Here is a 23,372-nt window from a genome sequence, read left to right as displayed (position 1 = left end):
AAGGACCTGAGGATGAGGAGCTAAATTTGGGAGGGGGGAGCAGAGATGGGGATGGTTGAGAGTTACAACAGGGGAGGGAAAGGAGGAAGGACAGAGGCTTTCTCTTTTCTGCAGCTCCTTGGCCTGGCTTCTCTGCCCACGGCAGCTCTTGCACGTATCTTAGGGCCTTTTCACAGTCCAGAAGCTGGCAGTGCCCTCAGCCAGGTATAGAGCCCTGTTGGGTTGGTTGGTTTGTCTTTTACCCCCTTTTGAATAGCAGCCCCTTTTGGCAGGCTGATGCCTTGGAGAACATCATTGTACTTGCTCCACACCAGGCATGATGTGTTTTCAAACTGCAGACTCTTGGACACTAAGCCTGCTGCCTTCTCAGATGGAAACTTCTTTTCATATTTCAGCAGGTCATTCACAGTCCCCACCTCATTCAGCCTCCATGGATGCTGCTGCCCCCACAGTTCTCCTAATGCCAAATCCCCAGCACTCTGTCTCCCTGGCCCATTGAGTCATATATTTTATTTTAGTTTTAGTTTTTTAAACTCAAACGTTATTTATTACGTAGGTATTTATTACACAATGATGGACTTTTACTGATAACTCGTGATGGGCTTTAGGGTAGGATTCCTAGTAACAAGCACGGTCACCAGGGCCTCCAAACTTTCTGGATTTGCAGCGATGAGGGTCAGCCACCAGCAGGGTCCAGCCACATTGGATGAGGACGTCTTTGACCTTCTTGGAAGCCACACGTATTTCTGGTAACAGGCCACCAGGGCTTTGGAGATGGACTGACAGATAGCATGAATCTGGGCCACCTGACCATCACCCTTCAGTAGGACATGGATGTCCACGTCAGCAAATCGCTCCTTGCCCAGAAGCAGAACTGGTTCCAGCAGCTTGTAATGCAGTGTGCATGACTCCATCATCTCCAGGGGCCGCCTGTTCACTTCCATGAGGCCACTGCCATGTTTGCGGCCCGCCATGGCTGTGGTCATCTTCCTCTGTCCAGAGACCTGCATGGACTGCAGCAGGCTCTTGGACCACATGGCTATGGGCGTAGATGAGAGATCCTCACCATGCAGCATTGCTCCTGGAAAAGCTGGTGTCATATATTTCAATGCACCCATTTTATAGAACATATGGTGAATATCTTAGAGTTCTTTCTGTTTTCTTTATTGAAATATAGCCAAAAAGTTAGTGGACCCATAACACACAAGGAACTAGCAAGTGATAGATTCCTCTTATTTCTCAGTGGCTTGTCTGATGCAATCTGATTTTGGATAACTCATCTACCATTCATCCGTTCATTTCACCCTCAACATAACACACCAAAAAAAAAAAAATCCTAATAATTTTCTTTGTCAAGAAACTTAGGCTGGGCATGGTGGCTCATGCCTGTAATCCCAGCACTTTGGGAGGCCAAGGTGGGAGGATCACCTGAGGTCAGGAGTTTGAGACTAACCTGGCCAACATGGTGAAACCCCATCTCTACTAAAAATACAAAAATTAGCCAGGCATGGTGTTACACACCTGTAGTCCCAGCTACTCGGGAGCCTGAGGCAGGAGGATGGCTTGAATCCAGGATGTGGAGGTTGCAGTGAGCTGAGATTGCACCACTGCACTCCAGCCTGGGCGACAGGGCGAGACTCTAAATTTCTCAGCTTGTTATCTGGGAAGAAGAAAAGCAGAAAGGAAGGAAGGAAGGATGGAAAGGAACCTAAAGACTATGGGTAGTAAATGGCATTTAAGCTGGGACCCTCTCTCACATCACGTAATTTTATAACTAGTAATTATTCTGCCATTGAAGATTTTTATTTTATTTATTTTATTTTATTTTATTTTACATTTTTTTGATACAGAGTCTCACTCTTTTCCCCATGCTGGAGTGCAGTGGCACAATCTCGGCTCACAGCAAACTCTCCCTCCGGGGTTCAAGCAATTCTCCTGCCTCAACCTCCCCCTGCCTCAGCCTTCCGAGTAGCTGGGACTACAGGTACAGTGCCACCACACCTGGCTAATTTTTGTATTTTTAGCAGAGATGGGGTTTCACCATGCTGGCCAGGCTGGTCTCAAGCTCCTAACCTCAAGTGATCCACCTACCTTGCCCTCCCAAAGCGCTGGGATTACAGGCATGAGTCACGCCCAGCCTGGTTTGTTTTTTTGAGACAGGGTCTCACTGTGTCACCCAGGCTGGAGTGCAGTGGCGCAATCACAGCACACTGCAGCCTTGACCTCCTAGCCTCAGGTGATCCTCCCACCTCAGCCTCCAAGTGGCTAGCCAAATTTTTTTTTAAGTGAAAATTATTTTTTATGGCCATTACTATACCAATCCCAGAACTCAAGACTCCTCAAGTCTATGAAACACAACTCTGAGAGGAGCTGCTTCAAAGTATTGTTTCAATTATTTCTGAGATTTAGATTCAGTTAGCACAATAAATACAGTATAAAAAGAGAAGGCAGAGAGGTGGAGAGGAGGGGGGGAGCCTGAGACTATGTTGCCAAGATGTTCTTTTTGTAGAAAATGACTGTGAAAGAAGGAAGAGCTCATTCTCTTATCCTTTTAAATCTCACAGCTTCATAATCCTCCCTAAACCTGACCTTCCTTTCTTTTTTTTATTTTTTTATTTTTATTTTTATTTATTTTATTTTATTTATTTTTTTTATTGATCATTCTTGGGTGTTTCTCGCAGAGGGGGATTTGGCAGGGTTATAGGACAATAGTGGAGGGAACCTGACCTTCCTTTCAACTTCTATTGGAAACTCTCCAGTACTGAAGTCTATTGTCCAACTCAAATGATAACCTTTCCTATCTTCTTTCTTCTTGCCCACCCTATACAAATAGGTGGTATGGTTTTTGCTTTTATTAAAACTGTTTTTGTAACCAATGTTTATTTTTTATCAAAATATTCCATGCAACTAGTCTAGGGGTCAAATAATGCTAAAAAGGCTTAGAGCAAAAGCAGCAGTTTCACTCCTACCCCTTCATCACTTCCTACCACTCAGAGGCAACTACTCAACTTGTTCAATTTATTGCTTTGTGGGTACATAATAAGAGTGGGAAAACAGGCCGGGCACAGTGGATCATGCCTGTAATCCCAGCACTTTGGGAGGCCGAGGCGGGTGGATTACCTGAGGTTGGGAGTTCGAGACCAGCCTGACCAACATGGAGAAACTCCATCTCTACTAAAAATACAAAATTAGCCAGGTGTGGTGGCACATGCCTGTAATCCCAGCTACTAGAGAGGCTGAGGCAGGAGAATCCCTTGAACCTGGAAGGTGGAGTTTGCGGTAAGCCGAGATCGCACCATTGCACTCCAGCCTGGGTGACAGAGCAAAACTCTGTCTCAAAAAAAAAAAAAAAAAAAAAAAAAAAAAAAAGAGTTGGAAAACAAAATTTATCTCTTTGGACATTTATCTCTGTTATATCTAAGAAATACGTACATGTTATCTCTAGTTTGTCACATAGCATTTTTTTTTTTTTGAGACAGGATCTTGTTCTGTCACCCAGGCTGGAGTGCAGTGATTCACTGCAACCTGTACCTCCCTGGTACCAGGGATTCTCATGCCTCAGCCTCCTGAGTAGCTGGGATTACAGGTGTGCACCACCACACTCAGGTAATTTTTGTAATTTTAGTAGACACAGGTTTTCACCATGTTGGACAGGCTGGTCTCGAACTCCTGGCCTCAAGTGATCCACCAGCCTCGGCCTTCCAGAGTGCTGGGATTAAAGGCGTGAGCCACAGCACCTGGTCCACATAGCAATTTTTATGTTAAGCAACTGTGAAAAGCTTACACACGTGAACTGTTTATCTGATCAAGTTTATTGTTCTTCAAAATTCATGTAGGCCCAGCTACTATGGAGGCTGAGGCAGGACTGCTCGAGCCCAGGAGGTTAAGGTTGTAGCTTGCAATAATTGTGCTCGTGAATGGCCACTGCACTCCAGCCCAGGCAACACAGCAATAATGACTTCAATGTAGTTCAAGCTTGTCCAAACCACGGCCCACTAGCTGCATGTGGCCCAGGCTTTGATTGTGGCCCAACACGAATTTGTAAACTTTCTTAAAACATTATCAGATTTTTTTGTGATTTTTTTTTTCTTTAGCTCATCAGCTATCGTAAATGTTAGCCTATCTTAACCGTGGCCCAAGACCATTCTTCTTCCAACGTGGCCTGGGGAAGCCAAAAGATTGGACACCCCTGATTTAATCCACCACAAACCATTCTGAATGAAAAGTTTTCGGAAGTGCAAATCCGAAGAAGATAATGCATTTACCGGATTACAAAATCATTATAATACAATCAGTCAGGATTCTAGCACAGAAGAGATTGAAGCAGAGCAGAACCCACTAGGGTATGTATATTATATATCATATATACCGCATATAATCTTACACAATTGTGGGAACTGCTTAAGCAATCCCTGTAAAGCTGTTATCGTCACAGCTGATCCTGGAGCTTGAAGACGTCAGGAAAGGCAGTCAGGAAGGCGTAGAGAAAAGCAAATACCAGCTGGAACCCACAAAGGCAAACTAAAACCGTGTCAATTCTCTTTGCCTTTGACCTTGATAGTATGGCCATCCTGCAGAAGCAGCTGCGTTCCTTCAGTACACACCTAGCCTAGGAGTAGGAAACGCTGGAGAAGGACTTGGGGGAAGGCGGAGCAGTTTTAGGCCCAGCTGCTGGCCCAAGCCAAGGAGGTAAACCAGCAGATAAACAATAACACGAGCCACAAAATGTCTGCTGCTTCGCTCCCGCCCTCAAATCTGCATGAGAATGTCTCCTGTGGCCCACCCTAACCAGAAACATATCCACAGGGGATGCTGGGAAACGTAGTTCCACCTCGCCAAGGGGACACAATACGTTTCAAAGCCACCATGGTCTACCGCTTCTCAATTTGGCACCTGAGTTTATTTATTTATATATTTATTATTTATTTAGCTGGGGGATGTCAGGAAGTCACTTTATTTGTAAAATGATGGATTAGACCTGACTATATTCTCTGATAATTAGAAGTTTGCAAAGATGAATAAAGATTTATAAGGCCAGGCGTGATAGTTCATGCCTACAATCTCAACTTTGGGAAGCCGAGGAGGGAGGATCACTTGAGCCCAGGAGTTCGAGATTAGCCTGGGCAACCAAGCAAGACCCACTTCTCTACAAAAAAATAAAAATAAAAAATAAAAAAATAAAGAAAGAATTAGCCAGGCTTGGTGACTTACTGAGGCAGGAGGATTTCTTGAGCTCAGGAGTTCAAGGCTGCAGGGAGCCATGATCACTGCACGGCACTTCAGCCTGGGCAACAGAGCGAGACCTTGGCTCTAACAAAAAAAAAAAAAAAAAAAAAAAAAAAAGGAAAGAAAAGAAAAAGATTTATAAAGTCAATTTTATGGAGGAAGGTCTCTCATTCGGTTCTGAAGTGTTGCGAATCTAAAGTTAGGAAGACAAATTCCCTTTAATTCAGCAAACACTAAGCCCCTACCATAGGCGTCCTCTGCGAAGGAGACACTCCGAATCTCAGGCGCTCACTCGCCATGTGTAAGAGGAAGCGCAAATAAAAGTCCTGGCCAGGCGCGGTGGCTCACGTCTGTAATCCCAGCACTTTGGGAGGCAGAGGCGGGAGGATCACTAGAGGTCTGGAGTTCGAGACCAGCCTGCCCAACATGGTAACCCCCTCCACTCCCCCCACCACACTTCTACAAAAAATAAATAAATAATAAATAAAAATAATAAAAAGCCCTTTCACTCGAGAAGCATTTCGCTTCTCTTAGCCGGAGCCATCCTCCAAAGTGCGAAAGCCTAATTACTGTCCACTCTCACCAAGCCATTAGCAAAATGACCACCTACCTGCTGTGAACACCGAGGTGAGGCTACTACAGTTCCCAGCCGGCCTCTCTCCCACTTCCGCTCCTGGACTCCACAGGCCAGGATTAAGGCACCCATGTTTTAAACCACACTTAACCTCTAAATAAAGATAACAACTAAGGCATCTTTCTGTCTAATATGACACAACTGTACCATGTACAACACAAAACACGTTAACCCTTTCCCCAGAAAGATGAGGCAAAATTCCTTTTCAGTTTTTGAAGGGTATTCATTTTCCTACCTAATTCACACTTTTCCTTTGGTATTCCACAATTTAAAAACTGATATAAATCTAATCTGCTATTAAGTATGGGTATGGGAGAGGGAAAGAAAATCAAACTACTTTATTCATATAGACACAAACATATTCATGTAAAAAAAGGAAGAAATATTCATTACAGTCCTTATTTCTGCAGCTAGCTACATGGCTGTAAACTATTTTATCAAGCCAGCTGCTTCGGAATGATGGGAACATGATAAGAATATGAATTCCCGCCGGACGTAGTGGCTCATATTACCGCCTGTAATGCCAGCACTTTGGGAGGCCAAGGTGGGCAGACCACTTGAGGTCAGGAGTTCAAGACCAGCCTGGCGAACGTGGCGAAACCCCATCTCTACCAAAAATACGGAAAAAAAAAAATTAGCTGGGCATGGCGGTGGGTGCCTCTAATCCCAGCTACTTGGGAGGCTGAGGCAGGAGAATCGCTTGAACCCAGGAAGTGGAGATGGTGGTGAGTCGAGATTGCACCACTGCACTCCAGCCTGGGCAACAGAGTGAGACTTGTCTAAAAAAAAAAAACAAAAAAACACAAACAAACAAAAAAATGAATTCCATGAGCATGAGCCCCTTGCCATACTTCATTTATAACTACTTTCTTCCACTTCCCATTCCTATTATTTGTGTCCTCAGCAGGCACCTCAGCTGATTTTAGTTCCCTGCCTGCTAAAATAACCCAGACCTTCATTCCTGAACCGTCTGGACCATCAACAGCCCTGCCTTAACTGGGTTGTTATAGTTTTCAATTGACTTTAATCCCTGGGCTTGGGAGGACAAAGGGGAACCCTGGAGAATCTCTTGCATTCCAGGCATATGCCCCCTTACCCTCATTTCATAACAGCATCCTCATTTTCTCTTTCTTTTTTTAAGTCTTTTCATTTTTATTACTCAAAAAAGTTTCATTTTTTAATTTCGTTTTCTGACTTTGTGCTTGTGCCTTCAACACTTTCACAACGATTTTCTGCTCCTCAGTAAGGAAAGCATGCTTGATCCTGTCACGAACACATTTAGCACACATGGAACCACCACAGGCCCTGCTGACATGTTCCTTTGTTTTGGACAATCTCATAAGAACTTTAGGTCTTACAGCAGGAACCACTTGAAGTCTGCCTGGGCACATGCCACATGCAGATTTTGGTGCTTTCCCAAACTTCTTGGTATAAAGATAAACAATTCTATTACCAGGGGTTCGGGACAGCCTAGTTTTGGTTCGGGACAGCCTAGTTTTGTTAGAGGCTGTATTGTAGGAAAGCCTACAATGTATGTCAAACGCTGGACCATTCTGAGTGCCTGTAGACAGCATCCCTGGAAGAGCCCCATTTTCTCTTGATGGTCAGGATCAATCACCACAGACAGTACTCCTTCTTTGCCTGTTGATTCAGAGGCATGAGCCCAAAGTGGCTGGGTAGCATTCTTGATTTCCAGTTCATTGGAATCATTGTTGTGCCCCTGATGGAAGCATTTATCCCTTTGGAGCCAAAATCTCTGGACCATTCATGGGGCTGGAAAGCAGAAGTGTCGCTAATGGATTGCTAGGAGTAATAGTGAGAAGAAACTATTCCCATTCCCATCCTTTGACTTCCAGACCTGGGAATCCTGGCTATGACAGAAATATTACCATATGTTGGATGCTGATTGAGAACACACACTGCCTTCTGAAGAACACTGCCTCAGCCCCACAGGTGTTACCATCTAGCTAGAACTATAATTGAGTCTTCCAAAGGCCATTCTACTGTTCCATCGAGGCAGCTGCTTCAGGACAATGAGGAACATGGTAAGAACAGTGAGTTCCATGAACATGGGCCTTTGGTCACACTTTATTTGCTGTGAAATGAACTCTTTGGTTAGAAATAGTGCGTGTGGAATACTATGATGATGGATAAAGCATTCTATAAGCCCACAGATAGAGTGAATTTCATCTTTTTTTTTTTTTGCCCATGGTTTTATGCTTTTGGAGTCTTATTTAAGAAACTCTTTCTCAATCCAAGGTCACGAATATATTCTTCTACATGTTCTTCTATTACTTTTATGGTTTTACCTTTCACATTTAAGTGTTTTGTACACTTGGAGTTTATTTATGGTGTGAAATAGAGAGACCTTTTTTTTTTTTTTGAGCAGGATTTCTCTCTGTCACCCATGCTGGAGTATAGAGGTGCCATCACGGCTCACTGCAGCCTCAGCCTCCTGGGGTCAAGCAATCCTCCTACCTCAGCCTCCTGAGTAGCTGGGACTACAAGCACATGCCACCATGCCTGGAGAGCCATTTTAAAAAATCCATTTAGTGAATCAGGTTTCCCAACTCTACATCCTTCCCTCACACATAACTGTGTCTCTTTCTGGACTCTATTCTATTCTGTCTCTCTATTTTGCCTGTTTGTATGACAGTGTCACGCTTTTTCTTGCTGTGGCATTGTAATGTCTGGTAGAGACAGTCTATTCCTTTGCTCCTCTTTTCTCAAAATCATGTTAATTGTTTATGAATCTTTAAATATTAAAAAGTATTTTTAGGCCAGGCGCAGTGGCTCACGCCTATAATCCCAGCACTTTGGAAGGCCGAGGCAGGCAGATCACTTGAACCCAGGAGTTCAAGACCAGCCTGAACAATAGGGAAAGACCCCGTCTCCCGTCTCTACCAAAAATACAAAAAAAAAATTAGCCAATCGTGGTGGTGCATGCCTGTAATCCCAGCTACTTGGGAGGCTGAGGCAGGAGGATTGCTTGAACTAGGGAGGTGGAAGTTGCAGTGAGCCAAGATTGCGCCATTGGACTCCAGCCTGTGTGACAGAGTGAGACCCTGTCTCAAAAAAAAAAAAAAAAAGTTTTTAAAAATTATTTTCAGGATTCAAGTCCGCATCCTCTTGCCTTTGGCAAGAGGGCAATGGAAGAGTCATCTAACATTCCTGGGACCCCATGTGCACCTTTTGGGAAAAATTATTTGTATGAGAAAAAAAGAATAATAGTGGTATTTAATCTCCGGAAACTACATAGAAATCCATCATCAGGGACATTTGCCCAAATTAAGAAAACTGCTGGATGAATCAAGGTTTCTGAAATTGTATTCCTCGTACCATAAAGTAATAAAATAGGCCGGGTGTGGGGGCTCAACCCTGTAATCCCAGCACTTTGGGAGGCCCATGCCTGTAATCCCAGCTCTTTGGGAGGCCAAGGCTGGTGGATCACCTGAGGTCAGGAGTTCAAGACCAGCCTGGCTAACATGGCGAAACTCCATCTTTACTAAAAATACAAAAATTAGCCAGGCATGGTGGCACTTGCCTGTAATCCCAGCTACTTGGGAGGCTGAGGTAAAAGAATCACTTGTACCTGGGAGGTGGCAATTGTAATGAACCAAGATTGCACCACTACACTCCAGCCTGGGTGACAGAGTAAGACTCTGTCTCAAAATAAAATAAAATATAGCAGAGCAAGACTTTTAATGCACAACCCCTTCATTTTAAATGAACATCTTATTTAAAATAAAACAAACACAAACCAAAGACCTTCAAATGAATGATCTCTCTAGTAGTTTGCGTGTATTTTCTTACTTTTTGGCATTTAAATAAATTTCTTTTGCTTTATTTTTAAGTACGTAGGCTTAAGTTTGTCTCTCATCACCACAGTGGAATCTGAGAATTGCTATTTGTAATGTTTAACAAGTAAGAACAATGCATGCTGTTCTGTAGAGGGTAGGGTAGGTGAAGCTGGATACCTATAAAATTTTGAGTATTAAGAAAAGTGCTCTGGGCCAGATGCAGTGGCTTACCCCTGTAATCCCAGCATTTGGGAGACCAAGGTGGGTGGATCACCTGAGGTCAGGAGTTCGAGACCAGCCTGGCCAACATGACAAAACCCCATCTCTACTAAAAATACAAAAATTAGCTGGGCGTGGTGGCACATGCCTGTAATTCCAGCTATTCGGGAGGCTGAGGTAGGAGAATCGCTTGAACCTGGGAGGCGGAGGTTGCAATGAGCTGAGATCTTGCCACTGCACTCCAGACTGAGCAACACAGTGAGATTCTGCCTCAAAAAAAAAAAAAATGTTCTGGACTCACCCCCAGAGACCCTCCAGTTACTATGCCTAGGGTGCAGCTCAGCAATCTGTGTTTTTACAACCACGTCAAGTGATTCTGCTATCCCACGTTTTGAGAAGTACAATAAACACAGTCCTTTCTACTTGGTTGCTGGCTTAAAGATGATGTGGACAACTGGGATAAGGTTTCAGGCCACAAATAGAATGGTTAGAATTTGAGAGGACTCAAGAGAGCCTTAACCATAACTGAGGAAAGTGAAGAATTTGTCAGAAGTGATACGTTTCACAAGCTTTGCTCTTAAATAACTGCGTTAGAACTGTAACTGCCACATCGTAGCTTTGAAATGTAATTGGGAACATTTCTCATCATTTAAAAAAAACTTCTTGAATCTTAAAAATTAAAGAAGTTTTCCCAACCTGGTTTTAAAAGCTGCATATTTGAAATTAAAAATATTTATTTATTTATTGTGTTAGTCCATTTTCACGCTGCTGATAAACATATACCCAAGACTGGGAAGAAAAAGAGGTTTAATTGGACTTACAGTTCCATATGGCTGGGGAGGGCTCAGAATTATGGTGGGAGGTGAAAGGCACTTCTTACAGGGTGGCAGCAAGAGAAAATAAGGAAGAAGCAAAAGTGGAAGCCCCTGATAAACCCATCAGATCTCACGAGACTTAATCACTATTACGAGAATAGCTTGGGAAAGACCGCCCCCATGATTTAATTACCTCCCCCTGGGTCCCTCCCACAACATGTGAGAATTCTGGGAGATACAATTCAAGTTGAGATTTGGGTGGGGACACAGCCAAACCATATTATTTATTTATTTATTTACTGGAGATGGAGTCTCACTCTGTCACCCAGGCTGGAGTCCAGTGGTATGATTGCAGCTCACTGCAACCTCTGCCTCCCGGGTTCAGGTGATTCTCCTCCCTCAGCCTCCTGAGTAGCTGAGATTACAGGCTCATGCCACCAAGCCTGGCTAATTTTCGTATTTTTAGTAGAGACAGTTTCACCATGTTGGTCAGGCTGGTTTTGAACTCCTGGCCTCAGGTGATGTGCCCACCTCGGCCTTCCAAAGTGCTGGGATTACAGTCGTGAGCCACCACACCCGGCGTCCTCCAGGAGTTTTCAAACAGAAACTTAGGAGGGAGAATCAGCACGTCACTGTTGGTGGCCTCCTTGGATGTGAGGCTCAGGTGCTGCCAGGAAGCAGGGCTGTTGTCTCAGAGCACAAAGTCAACATGCAGAAGGAGCAAGACTGAGGGCAAAATGCTTATAGAAATATTTCTCTACAGAGTCGAGTGGCTGTGAAATAGGAAGCAGTTACTCCAATCACCAAAAGTTTAAACACACAAAGTCAAACTGTGCATGAGCTTTCCTTTCCCAGTGCTAGAGAAAATTCCAGGGACAGGGCTTGATCTGAGAGGTTTATCAGGATTTCCAGAAAGAGGTGTAAATGGAGGGTGGAGTCTCCATAACAGAGGAGCAAATTCAAGCATGCATGCAATCAATCCAAGTGGCAAGTGGGAGATCAGCGATGCTGGGAAGTTTGCTTGTTTGTGTTTTCAATGAATGTTTATTGAGCACCTATTATGTCCCTGAAACTGTTCTAGGTGTTGGCAATGCAGCAGCTATGGAGGCAGATGAGGTCTCTGCAGTCATGAAGCTTTCATTGTACTGGAGGGAGACAGGGAATGAACAAACAAACAAGAAACAGACTCATGGGAATTCTAGATGGAGATGTATTCTGTGAAAAAAAATAAAACACAATGATATGCTAGAAAGTGGCTTCAGCAGAGAGCATGCCCTCTAGACTGATAGATCAGGAAAGGCTTAGCAATAGAAGGTAGCATTTCAGGTGAGACAAGGTGGAGCCCAGGCAGCCAGCCCAGCTTCTCCAAAGTCTCTGAGGCAGAAGGAGCTCAGGGTGTTTGAGAAAGAGGAAGTCATATGGATGGAGCGAAAAAAGCAAGGAGAGCAGTAGCAGGTAGCAGGTAATGTCAGAGAGGAAGGCAGGGGCTAGATCACACAAGGCAGTACAGACTAGGATAAGAGATTTGACTTGTGCTAAGGATGGCAGGAAGACATTGGGAGATATCTCTATCTCTATCTCTATATAGTGAAAGCAAGTTTATTAAGAAAGTAAAGGAATAAAGAATGACTATCCATAGGCAGAGCAGCCAACAATGGGATATTAAGAGGAGGTTTCCATTGTTCAAAGTTCCTTCCAGCTACCAAGCTGAGAATGGAGAGGATGACAAGAATGGCAGCAGGGAGACCAGGTTGTTAAGAGACTGTCATTGTAAATCCTGTTGGAGACTAGCAGACAAGTAAAGATTGGGATATGCATGATGTCAGGAGTGAAAAAAAAAACAAAAACAGATTTTGGACAAGAATTTAAACGTGTAGACTAAGAACAAAGCAAGATCACATGACACAGAGGACAGTAAGCCAGCTTAAAACAAAACCTGGACAGCCCAGGAAGCTCGAGGTGCTTGAGCAACACTGCTGCCCTCAATGCCCTGAGGTCCACTTGAGGACCTGCTGCTGGCGTGGGGAACCGCACCTCCATTTTTTGTCGTGTGTTGATCCACCTGGGCATGAAAACAATGAGGCTTGCGCCTGATATTTCAGACTTTTTACAGGCAACAGCTCCTTCAGCATATTTTAGAACCACCTCTCCCCTAGCACTCAGATCAGCACTGCCCTCCAAAGACACCTGTTCTCTGGTGTAGGCAGATGTTCCTGTTCCCTTGGCAACAACTCTTATGTAAATGGATTGTCCAGAACTGACTCTTCCAGAGCCCCTCTTGCACCACCCCCCAACTGTCCCTCACTCCCCCATACATATCATGAACAATCCAGACCCAGGTTAAAGCCAAGATGGCTAGAGCAGTATTATTTTAAATCTCCCTAATTAATCTTCTCTAGCATGTTAAAATATTAAGAGCCTATTAGCAAAATTGACTTGGATAATCTAAGCTCTAAATAAGTACTTAACCAACAATACCCCTAATCTGGGCTTTCTATTGAATTTCTTAGTGTTTTCTCCAATTTTAAAAAACACAGAGATAAACCAAGTAATGAGAAATAAAATGTGCTGTGATAACCTCTAGGCTAGATGTGAGTACTAAAACTGAGTGCTCACTCACCTAGGTGTCAATCCTCAGAGACACATTCTCTCTTCCCACCCATATTCACTCTTCCCATTCTCCCCAGTTTCTGGGCCAACACTAATAGAAGGATAATAAATGGATAGTTTTAGAGTATTTGGAATTAGGTTACTAGCATTAGTTTACCTGCTCTTCTAGTCAAGAGTCCATTGGTTGCTAGAAGCAAAGGCTTATAGCCCCTAAAATTAACCATAGGTTTGAGGAAGAGCAGAAACTGAGACTGTTTGGGAGTCTAGCTGCTTCTCACTAAAGTGTGAGAAGTACTTCTATGGTTGCCCCCGACCCAGACATCTATCTGATCCACAGCCATCATTCTCCACTCTTTCTCAACTTTATTCCTTTAATTGCCTCAGTCCAGAGGTTACGGAAGTGCTTCTCACACTTTAGTGGGTATAGGGGTATATAGGGTAATGTGGATATTGTGAAAATGTATATTCTTTGTTTTGAGACAGAGTTTTGCTCTTGCCGTCCAGGCTGAAGTGCAGTGGTACGGTCTCAGCTCGCTGCAACCTCCGCTTCCCAGGTTCAAGCAATTCTCCTGCCTCAGCCTCCTGAGTAGCTGGGACTACAGGCATGTGTCACCATGCCTGGCTAGTTTTTGTATTTGTAGTAGAGATGGGGTTTCACCATGTTGGTCAGGCTGGTCTCGAACTCCTGACCTCAGGTGATCTGCCCGCCTTGGCCTCCCAAAGTGCTAGGATTACAGGCGTGAGCCACAGTATCTGGTCATTAGAATGTATATTCCTATTCAGTGGGCTTGAATTGGGACCTGAGATTTTACATTTCTGACAAGCACCGGCGCTTCTGCTCTGAGTACCTGGTTTTGATTAGGGGTTGTAGGATTCTGTTTTTTTCTACTCTTTAGGTTTTTGTTTGTTTGTTTTTTGAGACAGAGTTTTGCTCTTTAGCCCAGGCTGGAGCGCAATGACATGATCTCAGCTCACTGCAACCTCCGCCTTCCGGTTTCAAGCAATTCTCCTGCCTCAGCCTCCTGAGTAGCTGGGATTACAGGCACCTGCCACCACGCGTGGCTAATTTTTGTATTTTTAGTAGAGACGGGGTTTCACCATGTTTGCCAGGCTAGTCTTGAACTCCTGACCTTGTGATCTGCCCACCTCGGCCTCCCAAAGTGCTGTGAATACAGCCGTGACCCACAGAGCACCCGACCTCTACTCTTTAGTTCTAACAGGCTTTTGTTCTTTTTTTTATTTTTATTTTTTGAGACTGAATCTTGCTCTGTCACCCCAGGTTGGAGTGCAGTGGCACCATCTCGGATCATTGCAACCTCCACCTCCTGAGTTCAAGTGATTCTCATGCCCCAGCCTCCGAAGTGACTGGGATTACAAGTGCCTGCCACCATGTCTGGCTAATTGTTATATTTTTAGTAGACACAGGGTTTCACCATTTTGGCTAGGCTGGTCTCGAACTCCTGACCTCAAGTAATCTGCCCACCTTGGCCTCCCAAAGTGCTGGGATTACAGGCATGAACCACTGCGTCCAGCCCAGGCTTTTGACCTTAAGCAGTTTGTTGTTTAAAGTCCTAGTCCTGGTACAATAGGAGAACATCAAGGTGTACATACAAATTATGTGAAAGCTTGAAACCGATGTCCAGGAGATTTAAAATTAACTGTCCTTTACATGTAAGGTGGAGGAGGAAATTATATTTCTTAGAACTTCAGAAAAGCTCATTCCCAAGAGAAAGGCTACAAGTGCAAAAGAATGGACAACCCTCCCCAGGAAGTTGCTGTTAGGGCCAGCCCTAACATTTCCAGTCCCTGGGACTAAGGCCCACAGGCCATATGGCTAAATATTTAAAAATCATAAGTCAGATAAACAAATTATTAAGTGAATTGTGTTCCACTCTCCTTCCTTGATGAATATATCTTCAAAATGGCAACATTTTAAAAAATACATGTAAAGTGATGGTTAGTATCCAAATTAGTAAATATATTATTGTTTATATCTTGATATATCTTGATGTTCAGTTGATAGATCAGGAATGTTTGGAAGATAAAACAAAATAAAACAAGCATAATTTATAACTTTTATATATTTATTTCATAAAATGTATTTGTCTTAACTTCGTTTTAGCAAAATTACTAAAAAGTCAGGATAGGCTGGGCGCTATGTCTCATTCCTGTAATCCCAGCACTTTGGGAGGTTGAGGCGGGCGGATCACTTGGGGGCAAGAGTTCAAGACCAGCCTGGCCAACATGGTGAAACACCATCTTTACTACAAATACAAAAATTAGACATGGCGGCTGGTGCCTGTAATCCCAGCTACTCAGGAGGCTGAGTCAGGAGAATCACTTGAACCCCACAGGGGGAGATTGCAGTGAGCTAAGATCGCACCACTGCACTCCAGCCTGGGCCACAGAGCGAGACTGTCTCAAAAAAAAAAAAAGTACAATTATAATGTGTCAATTTAAAAATTCAAAAGCAATTCAATAAATACCTATAGTAAAGGTATTTATTGCAGCTGATAAAAAATAAACTGACTAACTAAATAAAGCCTGCTATTGCCCAATTTTGAGGCATTGTTCTGTCACCTTTCATGTTGCAAACGAAGAGCAAAAGCTGAGAGCACTGGGGCTTGAACATGTTGGTGGATGTTGAGAATTGCAGATTGTTCTTCCACTATGGGCACCAAATCCTGAGTGACAGAGGCACCTCATGTTTTTCAGGTGATTCATATCATCAGGGAAGTTTGGGAAATACTGATAAGGAAGGCAAACAATATGGAACAATATTTAACAGAGTGCTCTGAATAGTAGAGTAGCTCAAGCAACTGGAAATTGCAAAACTTATTTGGTGACTTTGCCAAATAAATCATGATGATGATTATAAGATCACATACAATATTTTGTATGGACAGAATTTATTTAAGTTATTGTGTTTCTGATTTTAGTGTTAGATTTAAAATTATTATTTATTTATTTGAGACAGTCTCCCTCTGTCATCCAGGCTGGAGTGCAGTGGCACTATCTCAGCTCACTGCAACCTCTGCCTCCTGGGTTCAAGCGATTCTCATGCCTCAGCCTCCGGAGTAGCTGGGATTACTAGTGTGCGCCACCACGCCTGGCTAATTTTTTTTTTATTTAGTAGAGATGGTGTTTTGCCATGGTGGCCAGGCTGGTCTCAAACTCCTGACCTCAAGTGATCCACCTGCCTCGGTCTCCCAAAGTGCTGGGATTGCAGGCATGAGTCACCACTCTCGGCCTAGATTTAAAATTTTTATATACAGTTATTTTATAATATGTTGGTATTATTAAAAACAATGGTGTTTAATTATTAATAAGGTAATGTCCTGAAGTATGGCAAAACAAAGTATGCTTGTGTATGCAAGAGGTTGCAGAAAGCATAAAGACCTCACAGAGATTTTATACTGGGTCTATTTAGACCAGTTGTGCCACTAATCTAAGGGCAACCCACTTCTCTTTTGATGGCCTTTTTGCTAGAGGTATCTTAGATCTTTTGTTATCTGATACACACACACACACACACACACACACACACATGCACACGCAAACCCATATCCTATACCCTCACTTCTCCAAACTGAGCAATAACAAGAGAAATGGAGAAGAAATGTCCAAAGTTCACAAATTCCAACTTCAGCTTAGCAAACTCACATAAGGAAGTAAGAAAATGCATGCTATAGATAACAATGTCAGAACAGGGAAGGACCAGTCAAAGAACTGAGGCACACAAAGGTTAAGCAAGAGTGTTCAAGAGGACCGTAAAGGGAAATATTCAGAGAGCTTCTTTATTATTTTATTTGTTTTGAGGCAGGGTCTCGCTCCATTGTCCAGGCTGAAGTGCAGTGTGCGATCTCCGCTCACTGCAACTTCCGTCTCCCAGGTTCAAGTGATTCTCTTGCCTCAGCCTCCTGAGCAGCTGGGATTACAGGCACGTGCCACCACACCCAGATAATTTTTATTTTGTTTTGTTTTGAGATGGAGTTTCACTCTTGTCGCCCAGGCTGGAGTGCAGTGGCATGATCTCAGCTCACCGCAACCTCCGCCTCCAAGGTTCAAGCGATTCTTCTCCCTCAGCCTCCCAGGTAGCTGGGATTACAGGTACCCACCACCACACCCAGATAATTGTTGTATTTTTAGTAGAGATGAGGTTTTACCATGTTGGCCAGGCTGGTCTTGAACTCCTGACTGTCTGTCTGTGGCAGTGCAGAGTTTCTGGAACCCCTCTGTGACTTAACCCAAAGCCACATGTGCCACTCCCCCATGGGCCTGTCTGATAGAAGGATGTTGCTTACCAAATGGAAGCTCATCTTATTCACATCTTTCTACCAATGCCACTAAATTTGAGTTTACTTGGAGCAGAATTTTTTCCTTCCCTGGATTTTGGTTACCAAACAGATGGAACTTTCACAAATTCAAAACAGCAACTTGGTGCCCAGCTGACCGCACGTCAATGTTCTGGCTGCAGCGCATCCTATCTAAAAGGTGCCTGCTATTTCTTTACTCCTTAGATTATTTTGCTTATTAGAGTCTGGTGTTTCCAGGGGACCTGAGGGCTGGTGAGAACAGAAGCACACAAGATACCCTTACAAACATTCCCTGTCCTTTTGACTGTTGAGGGATCTGCTAGGAAATGGAAAGGCTTGATCTGCTTCCTGAGAAAACTATAGCCAAAGGAATTTTCAGCCGTGTATTATTTTTGGGAATTGTTCAGATATTTCTAAGCTGTTTTTCTCCCTAACAGAACAGGAGTAAGGAAATCCAAAGATCATTCTAACAAAAATAGAGGCAGTGCTACCCAGCTCCGTGCCTGCACAAACAGGTTGTGATGGTGTATTTGAGTAGACCCTTTCTCTAGACATGTTTCAGACTTGAAATATTATGAATGCCTGATTTAAACTGAAAGAACTTTTCCATAAACTAAACACAAAAGGAAGAAACTATTGGTACTTTTGAATAGGATAGGTGACTTTGTTTTTGTTTTGAGACAGGGTCTCACTCTATTGCCCAGGCTGGAGTGCAATGGCTCACTGCAGCCTTGACCTCTTGGCTCAAGTAATTCTCCCAGCTCAACCTCCCAAGTAGCTGGGACTTACAGGTGCATGATACTATGCCCGACTAATATTTTGTACTTTTCGTAGAGATGGGATTTTGCCATATTGGCCATGCTGGTCTCAAACTCCTGACATCAAGTGATCCACCTGCCTCAGCCTCCCAAAGCTCTGGGATTACAGGTGTGAGCCACTGCGTCCAGCCTGACTTTGAATGTCAACATCTAATCCTGTCCCACCCCACACCCCCAGCTCCTGATTGAAAGGAATACAATATAAGTAAAATAAATATCAGTGCTACAACTAGAAAAGGTTATCATCTACATTTCAAAAATATTGAGGACTTTCTACTGGACTACAGCAAGAAATCTGCATGGAAGAAAAAGCTCCAGGTATACCCTGACCTCCCTTCTCCCCAAGAAACAGCATCCTGGAATAATTGAGATCTCAGATCTTAGTAACATCCCCTAATTAGAAAGAGCAAGAGTTAACAGTAAAATAGACCTTGGGTCAATCGCACTACTTGCAATCCTTTTTACCTTTAAAAACAGTTGTGCACGTGGTCCAAGGTTAAACTGGCCACCCCATGGAGAATATCACGGTGTGGGAGTAGGGATAGGACTCCTTCTAGAGACAGTGGACACTACAATAGGCTGGGATACACCTGGATGCTGAGGCCCCCAGGCCAGTCATCGCAGGGCCAGTCAGAAAGCTGAGCCTGGTGCATCCCCGAACACCTAGAATCACAGAATCTGCCCTTCAGCTCATAGCTCTGGATCCCTTCTTCCCTTATTCTAAGCATCAAAGAGGCCTTCAAACTAAGAACAGAGAAGAGCATTGTAACAGCGACTGGTGATGGAATCCCAAGAAAATCATTTTACCCTGTTTCAGGGTCACCTAGAAAGTTTAGATAAATCTCTCCATTTTCAAAGGTGAAATGGTGGTAAAACCAACATGGAACTATGAAAGTATTCTGTATCATGAAGAGAAGAGAACGTAACACTCAAGAGGAAAACCAAGCTATTGAATAAGGTGAATGGTAGTATACTGAGGAGGAAAAAAATGTTACTTTATGAGCAGAATACTTCATTTCTCATGGTGGGGGGAAATGTGTTTAAGAACATATCTTGCAGAGCATGACTAGCTTTGAAGATGAAGCCTTCTAGGCATGGCTAAGATGGTTTGGTGAGCAAAAAGATCCAGAGATATGAAAGGAACCAGAATTGGGAGGAGCTGGCGCAGACCAGAGAGGATGTGATCTGGGAGAGTCTGGGGAGAGAAAGGGATGGAAGTTCAAGAACCTTGGGAAGAAAGTAGGCCCTGAGCAGAGAGGAAAGCAAGCATGAAATGAAAGAAACAAATGAGCTCTAGTGAGCAGGAACAGGAAAATGGAGCAAGCAGTGAGCACAAGGAACCCTAGAAATCTTGGGTGTGGCATTGGACTTCCCATGGGATGGAAGGTTGACCCAGGGTTGTCTGAATCCAACTGACATCAGAATTACGGTAGAAGACTGAAGTGTTACTTTAATACCCTGCCATTACTTTTAATGGCAAAAACTGCAATTGCTTTTGCACCAACCTATAAATTTTAGATGATAAACTTTATTGTGATCCTAACAAAATGAAAACATGGACTCTGTGAAACAATAGCTCAAAATTGATGTTCTCAAATAGTAGACTGAGATGAAAAGCAGAGGCCACTAAAATTTTTTCAAAAGGGGAATTGGATAAGAAAGTAATATAAATGGACTAAAACAATATAATGGAATTTGAAAATACATGAGCGGCAGTAAAGCCTCTAGATTCAAGAAGATGGAAAACTGAATCCACAATATGGAGGCCCAAAAGTCCTCCTAAAATGCAGAAGAAAAGAATAAATTTCAAAATAACATGAGAAAAGGCAATAAATATAGAAGACAGAGAAGGAAGATAAAAATTAAGAACTTAAGATGTTGCTGAGGCTAAAACAGGAACATTGAAACAGACCTAATAATGGAGGATGTAATCAAAGAAACTTCCGAATTGAAAAACAAAGCCTATATATGTAGACTTAAAGGGATTCCAGGCAAAAGCAATAGAAAGATGCCAATATTTAAATTTACCCTGACAACATTGCTGGTTTTTTTTTTTTTTTTTAAGACAGAGTCTTGCTCTGTCACCCAAGTTGGACTGGAGTGGCATGATCTTGGCTCACTGGAACCTTCGCCTCCTGGGCTCAAGCGATTCTCATGCTTCAGCCTCCCGAATGGCTAAGATCACAGGTGTGTGCCACCAGGCCCAGCTAATTTTTATATTTTTAGTAGAGATGGGGTTTCACCATGTTGGCCAGGCTGATCTCGAACTCCTGACCTCAAATGATCTGCCCACCTGCCTTGGTCTCCCAAAGTGCTGGGATTGCAGGCGTAAGCCACTGCGCCCGGCCCATCGCTGATTTTTAAAACAAACAAAAACTCTTATGTTAAGAATTAGAAGGCTGCTTTTTTGATATGATTAATGTCCCAAACTAATACCTTCCTTAACGGTTAATACTTGGGACATTCCCACTAGTAATCTGAAACTATCCCCACTGCTGCTTAAGCTTGGTCTCAAAATTCCAGTCATTGAATAACAACAAGAAAAACAAGTAAAATAAAACTTTTGGAAAGGTGTCAAATTTATTGCCATTTGCACAATCCCATGAACATTTACCTAAAAACCCAAGAGACCAGTTATAAAAGAAGTATATAAAATAAGTATTTTTATAAAAATCAATAGCTTTTACATGTTAGTTAAAAAAATAGATTATATAAAAGCCAGTATATATCTCATATATACTATAATAATATGTATTATTTTATAATAACAATGCAAATAGAAATAGAAAACCAGGCTGGGTGTGGTGGCTCACACCTGTAATCCCAACACTTTGAGAGGCTGAGGGAGGAGGATGGCTTGAGTCCAGAAGTTCGAAGCCACAGTGAGCTACGATCACACCGCTGCACTCCAGCCTGAGTGATAGAGCGAGACACTGTGTCAAAGAAAAAAAGAAATAGAAAACCACAAACCTTTAATGAAGGACATTAAAGAAAGAGTGTATGCCAAGGTAAAGCATGTTCCCTGAGGGGATGACTGGATATTATCAAGATGATGTTGTCCTTAAATAAATTTATAAATTTAATGTAATTCCAATCAAAGTGACAAGGAAATTTTTTTTTGGCGCTTAATGAAACATCTGGAAAAGTAACCAAATTAAACAAGCTCAGTCCTGGCATCATCAAGCGCAGGACTTGCACTGTAGACCTTAAGCTTGCTAAAAGGAAGCTGACTTCACAGTGCACTGCGGAAAGGACAGGCCACTGCGTGGCACAGAATGCAAAGTCAAGTGTCACAGTCTCTGAGACGAGGGTTAGCATGCAGGGTGTTCACATGTAGGAGCACCCTTGGGATCACCACCAGTGGATGGGAGGGGAAGGAGGAAGGACAAGCAGACAGGGGGAGAAGTCAAACCATGATTCAGTAGACCCAAGAGCCCTGGCCAAACCCACAGGAGCCGGGTGCTCAATGGCCTTCGGAGTTGTCTCAAGTGGGACCTGTGGCCAGGCATTTATACCCACAGGAATGAGTCACTGGATGTAGGCCACTGGGAAGGGGTAACTCCTCAGATGTGGTGGCTCTCTACAGCTGAGAAAATCCCTGCAGGAGATGACCCCTGAATACTCCGCTGACAACACTACCAGCGGTGGGACAAGTCTTTCATTGAAGCAGGAGCTAGAGTCCACCATCCAAGGACAAACCCAAATACATATAAATCATGAGTACTAGACAGAGTTGGCATCACAATTCGGTAATGGGAGAATACAAATACAAATTTCTCAACAAATAATGAAGGAGAAATTGGCTTACAATTTGGGGGAGAAATTAAAGTTCTACCTTATCTGATACTCTGTTATTTTTTCAAATAGAGACAGAGCCTTGCTATGTTGCCCAGAGATGGTCTCCAACTCCTGAGCTCAAAAGATCCTCCCAGTTTGGCCTCCCAAAGTGTTGGGATTATAGGCATGAGCCATCGTGGCCAGCCTATTTTTAAAATCCAATTTGGTAATTTTTTTATTGGTGAATTTAACCTATTTACATAAATTCTAATCACCAGTCTACTAGAACTATTTCTATAATTTTAATTTCATATTTTCTATTTCATACTTTTATTTCTTTTTTATTCCTTTTTTCCTTTCATTGGATAGAACAAATTTTCTTCTACTGTTGGCTTAAGATATACATTCTATTTTTATTCTTCTGGGGTATATCCCTTACATTAATACCTATATTTCCCTGTAGTCAGCTTCTTAACCTTGTCAATATCTATGTGTTCTCTACCAAACATGTGTGTACCTAGGTATATTTTACTAGCTCTGGTTTTTTATGTTTGCTGTTTGTATTATCTAGAGTTTGGGTTATGGTTTATTCTACTTTCCCGTTTTTGTCATCATGTATTTAGATAGCAATGAACGTGAGTAATTTATTTCAATTCCTTTACCTTAAAACATTCTCTAGCTTGATTTTTCTCTTTGTTAGAGAACTTCCTCCACCGTGCCCAACCTAAAAATATATTTTTTTAAAAAAGAAAATTGGTTAAGGAAATATTTTCATGCTATTATAGCTGATATTTATTTTCTTTGTGCTTATATGTTTATTTCAGTTTTTCCATAATGGGCAAATATCATTTCAATAATTATAGGGGAAAAAGTATGTATTTTTAAAATCCATAATAGAAGAAAATCACACATCATTGGTTTATCCATCCTTTTTTTCATCATGATATCTTTTACCTGCACTCAATCTCCTTTATTATTGTTATTATTATTAATTATTATTATTTTTTGAGACAGAGTCCCACTCTGTTGCCCAGGCTGGAGTGCAGTGGTATGACCTTGGCTCACTGCAACCTCTGTCTCCCAGGTTCAAGTGATTCTTGTGCCTCAGCCACCCGAGTAGCTGGGATTACAGGGGCCTGCCACCATGCCCAGCTAAT

The 23,372-nt window shown here is 42.8% G+C and overlaps 2 pseudogenes; both read right to left on the bottom strand.

The window, feature by feature from the left end:
* RPS16P8 (ribosomal protein S16 pseudogene 8) lies at window positions 558-1,090 on the bottom strand (annotated as a pseudogene).
* On the bottom strand, window positions 7,001-7,445 carry RPL34P31 (ribosomal protein L34 pseudogene 31; annotated as a pseudogene).

This window comes from Homo sapiens, chromosome 17 (genome assembly GCF_000001405.40).
Source record: "Homo sapiens chromosome 17, GRCh38.p14 Primary Assembly".
Taxonomy (NCBI): domain Eukaryota; kingdom Metazoa; phylum Chordata; class Mammalia; order Primates; family Hominidae; genus Homo; species Homo sapiens.
Note: the sequence above shows the minus strand (reverse complement) of the source record. Positions and strands in the feature narration are given on the sequence as shown.